Below are 11,641 nucleotides of genomic sequence, written 5' to 3' on the forward strand. Positions count from 1 at the left end.
GTTTAGGTTATTTCAAGGAGTTGAAAATATATAATGGTCATTATTTAGAATAGCTGTTATTATTTTGTTTTAGTAAGAATATTTTGTGGCATTTAAAGTGTCCTTTTAAGTAGAATAATCCTTTTACACTCTTTTCCATAGTACCAATGTATAAATAATGTAATTTTAAACAAAATATCTACTCCAGATTTTAAAAACAAGTTCTTTTTAGTAATAGTTAAATTCCAACTATTTTTCTATGAAGGCTTTGTGGTATTTGATAAAAGTTTTAGAAAAGTTAGTTTTCTTTTTCTAGTACAAGAGAACATGGAAGAACACCATATTCTTTGACTTTATTGCTTTTTTCTCTTTCTAGAATGAAGGGATTGTGAAGCTTTATAATGAAGGCTGTTGCAAGATCTGTAAGTGAGAGCATATTCCATGCATTTACTTGATAGATTAGTTTTAATTGCTCATAGTGATTATGGTTTTTCTCACAAAATTCAATTCCTATGATGCAAAGAGAGAAACAAATTTTATAAAATATTTTTGTATCGTATGTTTTTTGTATCATATGGTTAATAATTTTGTAATTTAGTCTTTAACTTAAAGGTTTTTGTATCATATGGTTAATAATTTTGTAAATTAGTCTTTAACTTCTGGAGTGTAAAGAAAGTGTTTGCATTTAGATTAATTTTAATTTAAATATTTTTTTATTGTGGCATATTACAAAAGGTATTTCATAAGATTTCAGTATATTTAAAATTTAAAAATGTTTTGTGATCATATTTGTTTGAACCATGCTGAACTTAAACAAGTAGATTACAGTTAGAATGGCATTGTGACTCCAAAAACAACATATGGGTGCAGTATTTTTCAAACCTGTTTGAGTAAGTATATAGTTTTGTACAATAAATTTGGATAATATTTTAGTAAATAATATTTATATCCTTTTCATAAAAGTTCTCATAATTATTTTCATAATTAAAGCTATCTGAATGCAATATATTTTTTATTAGCTTGGATTATAAGGTTTATTTCATAGTAATTGTTTTTTTTTTAGTGAGACGGAGTTTTGCTCTATTGCCCAGGCCGGGGCGTAGTGGCATGATCTTAGCTCACTGCAACCTCTTCCTGCCGGGTCCAAGCAATTCTCATGCCTCAGCCTCCTGAGTAGCTGGGATTACACGCATGCGCCATCACGTCCGGCTAATTTTTATATTTTTAGTAGAGATGGGGTTTCAGTGTTGGCCAGGTTGGCCTCAAACTCCTGGCCTCAAGTGATCTGCCCACTTCGGCCTCCCAAAGTGCTGGGATTACTATTTCATACTAATTTTGAATAATTTTAAGGACTGAAATAGAATAGAGTGTTTTCCATGAAACCACATTTATTTTTTCTTTTTAAAGTGTTTGTGAATTTATCTCAATATAAAAATAGAAATTTTGAGAAAATTAGCATAGACAGTAATTTTAAAATTTAAAGAAGCTTTTAGGAAAGGGGCACAACAAAGTTCAGTTTAATAATACCATGCTGTAATCACAGCACTTTGGGAGGCCAAGTTGGGTGGATCACAAGGTCAGAAGATCGAGACCATCCTGGCCAACATGGTGAAACCCCGTCTCTACTAAAAATACAAAAATTAGCTGGACATAGCAGCATGTGCCTGTGATCCCAGCTACTTGGGAGGCTGAGGCAGGAGAATCACTTGAACCCGAGAGGCGGAGGTTACAGTGAGCCAAGATCACGCCACTGCACTCCAGCCTGGTGACAGAGCTAGACTCTGTCTCCAAAACAAACAAACAAACAAACAAACAAACAAACAAACAAACTGTGGTATAGGGCCAGATTCTTAGATATGAACTGACATACATCTTGAGGAAGATTTCTGAATTTCTTTCATGAAAGACTAAATCCCATAAATATGTAAGAGTAGTCTTATATTTTTAGATATGTAGAGTCATACTGAACAGAATATTAGAATGTATTAAAATATTAATACAAATACTATGTAATATATACTATCTATATACAATATATAATATGTAATATATTATAATTTATTACCACCAAAATCCAATGAAATAGGTTCTGACATTAGCTTGATTTTCCACTTAGTGGCGTTAAATAATTTGTCCAAGTCATACCTCTTGTAAGTGATAATGCTAGGAATCTACTGCGGGTCTCATTTCCCGTCCTGCTTCTTAACTCTTCATGGTATTCTGGAACATTGCCAGGACAAGTTTTAGGAGAGGGCAGAGGCTGAATGATAAGCTCTGCTGAAGTGGCAGGGCTAGAATGACTGAATTTTTATTTACATAATGTCTAAAAAGCCAAACTCAATGCACACATACACACCGACAACAAGCAAAAAAGTCCAACAGGATGGCCTGACATCTAATTTGTTATGATATTAGTTTGCAGGGCTGCTGTAACAAACCAAAAAGTGGTTGGAAATAGAAATTTATGGAGATTAGGACTCCAAAACCAAGATGTCAGCAGGGCTCATTCCTTGGAGGTATTATGAGAGAGAGATCTGCTCCAAACCTCTTTCCTTGGCATGTAGATGGCCATCTTCATGCTCACATGTTGTTTTTCCTGTATGTGTGTCTAACTCCAGATTTCCACTTTTTACATGAACACCAGTAATATTGAATTAGCACCTCCTAATGATCTCATTTTTGCTCAGTTATCCCTGCAAAGATCTTGTGTCCAAATAAGATCACATTCTAAGATACACAGGCATTTTAAGACACAATTCAACCCATGATAATTATATTGCAAAGACTTTTAGGGATAGTATAATATAACCTATATATTTTTAATTACTAAGGCTTTAATTAGATACACACTGATTAAAAACATTCTGTTCATTAGAAATAAGCACGTTTTCATTCAGAATTCTCTAAATCAAATATAAACTAATATGAATCAAATAGTCATTGTATCAGGGGCTCAAGGAATGAAATTTAGCTTTAGAATATGAGGAAATTTAAGATTTCACTTTTTTTTTTCCATCTTCTTCTTCAGATTCTAGACTCTTCCTTAGGTATGAGATGCAGGAATAGAGTCACATGGCAATGTTAAGGCCCTGGCTTCTATATCCCCATGTTAATTATTAGGGAAGTGAGTACAATTATGTTATCTCAGGGCAGACAGGGGAATATCTCTGTGACTAATCATATGAATGACCACTATGGCCTGCCACACACTGACACTCTATTAAGCACATTGCTGACAGGACCACACCTAATCCTCACAACAGTTCTGGAAGGCAGGTATGTTTTCCCTACAGATGAGAAATAGAAGGTTCAGAGAGAAGCTGATCATAGTAGTAAATAATAAATTTAGGCCTGTCCAGTATCTGGGCCCAGGATCTTTCAACTCTGCTAAGTTCTTTGAAGTTGCAGAATAATAACAAGCCACTTCAGTTTCTCTCATCTGACGTGAAAGGACTCGTAATGTAGTTTCTGCTGGCATATTAGAAAACCCTTTCCTGCCGCCTTTGCTTTCTGAAGACTAGGCTGTGTTGAAGAGATTGTGGAGGTTGGATACTATTGCAGGCTCTGTGTTGAATAAAATCTGTTACAATAAAGTTTTTGAGGAATGAATTAGAAATGACTCTTGGTACAAACAAACTCAGCTAATGATAAATTATTGCTGCCCTGGTTTCATTTACTGAATGAATTAACTCGTTGGGTTTTTACTGGGTGCCTACATGACAAACATCTTTTTAGCCACTGGGACCATAATAGTGAATGAAGCAATGTCTGCATGGAGTGTGCTCATTATCAAGAAGGGGAAGAAACACTGAACCCATAAATATATTCTAATATGTCATTTAGTGATGAGTGGTATAAAGAAAAATAATGTAGAATAAAAGGAATGGAGAATGAGAGGAGCTGGGTTGCTAACTTAAGCGGGGGCTTAGAAAATGCCTTGGTGATGAGGCGTCATTTGAGTAGAGACTGAGTGTCCTTGGGAAGCCACCCACATGGTGAAGAGTGTTCAAAGTGGAGGAAATAGCAAAATGTGGCTATTGCACGGAAAGTGAGAGGAGGAAGGTGATAGAAAGAAGAGGGTGAGGCATCTTATAGGTCATGGTAAAGATGATTTTTTTCATTGACTATTCTTTATTCTTGAACTTACGTAAGAATGGAAGGGCTAAGGAAATAATCACTGAGTGAAAGCACCATAAGGGGCAGAACAGCCTGCACTCAACCAACAGCACTGAGCCTCGAGTCACACCATGAGCAAGAGGTTAGTGAAAAGAGATAGAACCAGCATAGGAGACTGAGGAGGAGCCATGAGTGAGATAGGATGAAAACCAAACCAGGTGAGCTCAGGAAGCCAAGTATGGAGGGTGCATTAAAGAGTGTGTTGTGCACATGTACCCTAAAACTTAAAGTATAATAATAATAAAATTTAAAAAAAAGAGGACAGAGTGATGGACTGGGTCAAATACTGCTGAGAAGTCAGATAGGGTGAGAACTGAGAGATGATCTTGAAATTTAGCAATTTGGAGGTCATGAGTGACCTTGAGGACAGTAACCCTTCAGTCAATCTTAGCTACCCATCTCTCCTTCAAGCAGAGTAGCTTAATCTTTATCTATTTTACATGTTGAGATTGTTTTAAATTAGGATTTCATGGCTAAATGTATTTTAAAATTGGGATATAAGTTCACTCTTTTGTAAGTAAGGAAACTCAGCAGGATAATTCAGTGATTTTCCTAAAGTAACAAAGCAAGTTGGAATAGAGAGAACCTTGGTTTTTGTATCTTGATTCAGGGATTACATCCACTATTATACATCATTAAATATAGATGCTTGCATGTAATAGCACGTGATAATCCATTACACACACAGACACATATTAAGATATCATGAATGCATACAAAGTGTTTTCATTTGAAATTATAAAAGACCATTTCAGAGCCATAAAATCAAGTATGACTCATCCATACACTTCAATATGGTTGATAAGTGATTCTATTAAAATTTTGCATTATTTTATATTAATGTCCATTAAGATAATGTGGTTTTAAATCTCTCAATTTTTATTTTAAAATTGATGTATATATGTAGTTATGCATTAATTACATATGCATATATCTACTTATACACTTTATGGTTTATTCCAAAAATTATTTTAAACACATATATGCCACACACAGGTTGATGTTAGCATTATTACATGTGTGGAATATTTCTGATTTCTGATTGTGATAATTATTCTAAGACAATAAGATATAAAGTGGAAATCAATAAGTGTAAAGCCAGAAAATATAAGAAAATCTATTTAGAAGGTGAAAATAAATATTGCACATAAAAATGTAAGAGAGAAGTTTTAAATATCTTTCAATACTGGAATATATTTTATATAAATACACCAATTTTCAACTGTAAATATATTCATATATTTAATTTAAGAAACAATTTAACGTAGGCCTTTGATGAATAAATACATTTTATATTTTATCAGGCAAACGAGAAGAAAGAATATGCCAGAAAGTGATCATTAAATCGGTCATAAGGAAACAGGACTGTATGAGCCAAAGCCCTGTAAGTGGAAAAATGTCATTTGCTACATAAATGCACACATCTTTTTAGAAAGTATGTGTGTTACAGAAAGAAGTTTGTAAGCCAACAAACTGCCAACGCTTAACAATATTTAACTGAGATTATTCCTACATTCTAATGTTGCAATATTCTGTTTGTGAAGAAGTATGAATTATTCTTAGCATAATCAGCAGTTCTGAATGATGGTTGCAATCCAGAGGGATAGAAATTGAATCTAAATGTATTTGACTACATGTTGTCTTCACTATGCAATTTTACTCAGCAAAAAGAGTTCTGCTTCTAACTTTGTCCCTTTTAATATGACCTGCAGTGTGCTTGAGCCATGATATGACACAGGTTACAATAGATTAACTATATTGTGATTAACATATTCCATATAGATTTATGTTGAGTTATGTGTGCACATTTAATGCTTTGAATGCTATGTTGAGCATTGCCATGAAACGTCCCTTTGACTTATGTGACTGATGTTTCATTTATTGTTTTTTACGATCTTGCAACATGCAGAAGCTTGAGGGTTGGAGTGATGAGGAAGAAAGATTTTCATCAGATTTTCTTAGTGGAATCAAATAATAACCAGTACTTTTAAAAGTTTAAGACTTTTTTTCTCATTGTCACTTCTTACAGATAAATGTTGCATCTTGTGACGGCAAATGCCCATCAGCTACCATATATAACATCAATATTGAAAGTCACCTAAGATTCTGCAAGTGTTGTCGTGAAAATGGAGTACGAAACTTGTCTGTGCCTCTGTATTGCTCAGGAAATGGCACTGAAATTATGTACACTCTCCAGGAACCCATAGACTGTACGTGCCAGTGGAATTAAACCCTTGGGTTCCAAGAGCTCTATACAACATCATAACGTCAGATAGAATTAACTTTTATTGCTATTACTTAGGCATGTGGCAGATTTATGCTGTTTAACAATACTGTATTTTTCAGACTTGGAATGTGGAAATTTAGCAATTTGTACAAAATATATACAGTTTCAATAGCAAAATTAAATTTATTGCTTTACTCTATTTTAGAAAATCAAATGACTGTAAGTTGTTCAGCTGAAATGCTGTTATGTATTTAATTACAACTTGGTGCAGATACAGTATATTCTCATCAACTGGAAGGTTATTTTGCAAAATTCCTTCAATTTCACTCAGTAGCTCTTTTTTTCTTAATTTGCAAAGTCTGCTATAGCTATCCAAATTAAGGTACCCTTTAATATGTACTCCTTAATCTGGTAAATGTGATCAGTTAAAATTGTCATCTAGATAGCAATAAAGAGTGATATGCTTAGAGATAGATAATGGATTATTTAAAACCTGAATGGTTTATAGAGAAGTCATTATAAATTCCCCTCATTTTGCAGGTGTAACAGATAACCAGAGAAGCTGTGTGACTCGTACAAATTTATTCAGTGTAATAATATAGTAAATTCATGTTAACAGTTGGATTAAATCCTAGCTCTCTCTTATTCCAGTACTATATCACTTTTAAAATCCTGAGCAGTATGTAGTAAGAGTATATCACAGAATCTTTCATTCTTAAAGAGTTTGCATTGGATAGAATTAAGTATTTTAAGTTTAACATATTTGAAAAATGCCCCCCATACATTGTTATTCCAATAGTAAGGAGCAGGGAAATATAGCATCATTTGCTAAATAGAGGAGATAGATCTTGAACTGTTATTTTTTATATAATTAAAACTGCTATTAAATGTGTTGTCAGTATTTAACATTTAGTTACTGTCTCATTAATATTTAATTTTGAGGATGTACTTGCATACTGTTGAAGTTGAGTGCTGTTTTGCTGTTAATGCTGCTGCTTTGCCAATGAAGAATGAAATAAATTTATCTGAATGTATCAATAACTTTAAAATGGAATGCTGCACTTTTAAAATATGGTAGATTATTGACATTTGCAAGAAGAATGTATTGAGGTCTTTGGAAATGCCCAAATTCTTTGCCACCTATAATTAAAAATTGTCTGAATTTTCTCCTCAGTATAAAGGAGTGAATGCCCTACTTAGTGTAATTGTATCAAGTGAAGTCAAACATCAACAAAAGAACAGTAAAGTCTCATTGCAAAGCAGATACTGGGCCTCAAGGGTGGGCTTAGGCTTAAACTAGATTATCTGCTTTCATATACTAATGTTTTCATTTCAAAATCATGTGTCCCCAAAATATTGCAACTTACTGAATATTTTAGATCTCTTGGGTTACTTAAATATGTGTGAAAAAATCAACATTGCATCTGCAAATCCCAGTGTTTACTGTATATGCAATTGATTTATCCTGTTTGTGCTTAATATAAGTGTTCCTGAGATGTTAACATTTCAATATTCTCTGATTCCTATTAACATATAGATATATAAAATTAAATGTTTTTGGTTAAAATATATTAATATTTCACTTAAGAGAAAATGTTATGTATTTCAAATAGAAGTAACTAATGTTGTATATTATCTATTGCCCATTTTTATTTCCATTTTCTGTAAAATATTCATTATTAAAAATATTAAGTAATCTTTAAACCTATTTGTGGAGAAATGGGAAACATTCTCCTAGAACTTTATAAACATTCAACAAATACAGCAAATAAGCATTTAGGGCCTACATGTGCCAGGCACTATTATAAACTCTTGGGACACAGGCAAAACTAAACAGACACAGTCCTAACTCCCTTAATTCTTAGAGTCTAGCAAGAAAGCAGGCCTTAAATAGCCATACATATGATATGAGAATGTCCAGAAAGAGATCCCAAAACTTATTAGAATGTGGCATATCATAAAGATGACTCTGAAATCAGTGGAAGAGTGCAAATTAGCTCTTAATAAATGGTGTTGGGACAACTGAATGGTTACGTAGATAAAGAAAAATTTGAATTCATACATCCATTGACATTAGGATAACCTCCAAATGAATCAGAGATTTAAATGTTAAAAAACAAAAGAAGATAGGAGTTACAAAAGAAAATAGGGAAGAAATCTTAGATTGGGGAGAGCCATTCTAATTGTGACTCAGTATCCAGATACCCCAAATAAATGATTCATAGATTTAACAGTTAGAAAACTGAAAACAGACAAATTCTGCTTGGTAGAAAAAAGTCAAAAAAAGATAAAAGCAAAGAAACAATATTTGTGACATATCAGTGACACAGTCTAATCCTCCTGTATGTAAAGAACTCTTGAAAAAAATAACAAAAGGAAAAAATTAACAACCTGATAGAAAAATGAGCCAAAGATATAAACTGATAGTTGAAAGAAAAATAAGTAAGACTAGTGGATCCTTTAACAAAAAAGATAACTGAGCACACTTCTAGCTAATAAAAAATATTTCACATTCAATCTACAGAAATTCAATTTCTCACCTACCAGACTGGTAAAAAACCAGAAGTTTAATGATACTTTTATTTTTTAAGGCTCTGGGAAGATAAGCACTCTCACATGTCATTGATGGTAACACAAAATTGTAGAAATCCTAGGGAAAACCTAGAAATGTATACTAATATTAGAAGTGATTTTTGGTTTGACCAAACTGCCTAGAATATATATGCCGTACAAACGCCTGTACAAATACAAAGTGGTATTTGTGAAGGTTATTAATTGCAGCATTGTTTGTAATAGAAAAAAACCAACAATAGTTGAATAAACTACGTTAATCCACATGTGTAATACTATACATCTGTGAAAATAGAATGAAAAGTATATATTGGTGTGGGATGATTTCTAACACATTTTTAAATTGAATAATGTATTGAAATCTAGAACAGCATATTAGATTTCTAGGTGTTGTAAATTAAAAAGGCCTAAATAAGAAAATATAATCATATTTACATAGGAAGTAAACAATGAGGTAATAAAATGGCAAAAACCAATGGTGGAGGTGGATCAGGGTAGATGAAGATTGGGATGCAAACAAGACTTCTCCATGTATATCTTAATATACATTTTGAGTTTTGAATTATGAATGTATTGCATTTCAAATATTTAAATTTTATATATATATACTAATATAAATAAATGAACAATTCTAAGTTATGATACATGCTGCAAGGGAAGAGTAGAGGTTGCTGAGACAGTGACATAGCAAAATCTAATTTGCATTGGGTGAAAAGTAAAGGGAGGCCTCTGGGAAAATGATGTGTAAGCTGAGACCTGAAGGATGAGTGTGAGTCAAACAATAAAGCATTTCCAAGAGAAGGGAACAACATGCATCAAGGTCTTTTGAGAGGAAAGGACAAAGGCTGACCAGGGAAATGATAAACAGAATTTTGTTTGTTTGTTTCTTTGTTTTGAGTAATGGGGAGTGTGGTATAGAATGAGGCTGGTGAGATGAACTGGGAAGCCAAGCAATAAACAAAAAGGCTGTTATGATGCTATTGCTATAGAACAGGTGAGAAATGGCAGTGACAGTGCAGATAGGAGAAATTGTCATATATAAGATATATTTCAGAGGTAAAGTCGAGGACTTGGTAATCATTATGACACAGAAAAGTGTTTTGAGAATGCCTCTGAGTTTGATCAGCAGCTGGATGAATGGAGGATAGAAACCTTGGACAGAAAGGTGAATTTTAGCTGTGAGATGGCAACGTTTAGAATCCATTTCTGAGCATGTTGATATGGTTGATTAGACAACTGAGTGAAGTTATCAGAACGTGGCTATCTCTATTGGTTTGGTGCTCAAAAAAATCTTTGTTGAAGTATTTTTAGGATTTGTTAATATATAAATTGTATGAAACTATGAGAATGAATGAAGTTATCTAGGGCAAGAGTATATAGTGAGAGGAAAACAGGATCCAACACTGAGTCTTGAAGACCTTGTACATCTAAGGGATTGTATAGAAAAAGAATGGCCAGGGAAAAGGACTGAGAAAGAATGGCCATAGAGGTTGAAGTAAAGCCTGGAACCTTGAAGGAGGTCATAGAACCAAGGCAATACAAGGCTATACAAGGGACTGGAGTTACGGTCTATCAAATGATGAAGAGTCACTGAATGTATAGAAAGAAGAATTGGTGTTTCTTATGGACAAAAGCATAGTGAAGTGGGTTGAAAGCGGATTGGTAGGTGATCAATCTTTCTCGATACATGCACCACTCCACTTCTGCTCATGCAGAGATTCGCTTAGGCACATGCTCATAGTTCTGCAGCTGGTGGTGCTGGACCTGCTTCTGCTTGCACCTTCATGGTGGATTCTTCCTACCAGGCTATGGACACTGGAAAAGCACCGCGCATGCGCAGCCGACCCAGTCCCCACCATGGGCCTCCTTCCCTTCCTCTGATCACTGCTCAGTCTGCTTCTGTGGAGGAAGGACTCCATCCCTGCCCAGTGCCTGCCATGGGAGCTGTAGCTTCCACCACCACTTCTGGAAAGAAGCACGTGCCCTCATGAATGCCTTGATGAGCTGAGTAATACACCTGGAAAGAGCAGAGGAGTTAATATCCTATGGGGTGAACTCTGACCAAGGAGTAACAGGCCCAGGAGTCAGCCAGTAAATTGCTCACCGTTGCTCCTCACTCCCAGTGATCTTTCCAAGATGTAGGCGTTCCATTTGGCCTTTCCAGGTACGTCTCTGTGAGTTGTGTCCTGCTGTCCAACAATCTGCCTTGTACTTGCTTTTGATCCTCTCCTATGTCATCTCACTTTCCTTAAGTTACTTCCTCCCAGTCTTCCCCACCTCAGGCTCTACTTCAACCTCTATGGCCATTCTTTGTCAGTCCCCTTCCTTGGCGGTTCACAGATCTCAATGCTGCGTGTGTGTGTGTGTTTACGTTGTGTATACATACACATACGTATATACTTCCTGATAGGCTCAGAAATAAACATTAAAACTACAAGATGCAATTGTTTTGTTATTAAATCAGTAAAGACTTTTAACTGTATACTCTGTCATGTTGGGAGGGAGAAGAGTAAAAAACAGACTCTCGTGTTGATTGTAGAAAGTAAAAACAAAATAGCCACACAAATAATTTATTTCGAATATTTGTTTATTTATTTTTGCCTTTCTTTCTGCCTCTCCTGATCTTAAACATATATTTCTGTAATTTTTAAGTTCGTAAAAATTATTATATTCTTATGCATTTTTTCT

The 11,641-nt window shown here is 34.3% G+C and overlaps 1 protein-coding gene across 7 annotated transcripts in view; it reads left to right on the forward strand.

Annotated features, from left to right (window-relative positions):
- Nucleotides 1–9,217, forward strand: part of OTOGL (otogelin like) — a 281,344-nt gene extending 272,127 nt beyond the window's left edge. For all 7 annotated transcript variants that reach the window (NM_001368062.3, NM_001378610.3, NM_001378609.3 and 4 more), the window contains 3 exons: nucleotides 356–401; nucleotides 5,460–5,539; nucleotides 6,185–9,217. In NM_001368062.3, the coding sequence (NP_001354991.2) occupies nucleotides 356–401; nucleotides 5,460–5,539; nucleotides 6,185–6,385 (327 nt within the window). In that variant the 3' untranslated portion in view covers nucleotides 6,386–9,217. The remainder of the gene's footprint in view (nucleotides 1–355; nucleotides 402–5,459; nucleotides 5,540–6,184) is intronic.

This window comes from Homo sapiens, chromosome 12 (assembly GCF_000001405.40).
Source record: "Homo sapiens chromosome 12, GRCh38.p14 Primary Assembly".
NCBI classification, from domain to species: Eukaryota; Metazoa; Chordata; class Mammalia; order Primates; family Hominidae; genus Homo; species Homo sapiens.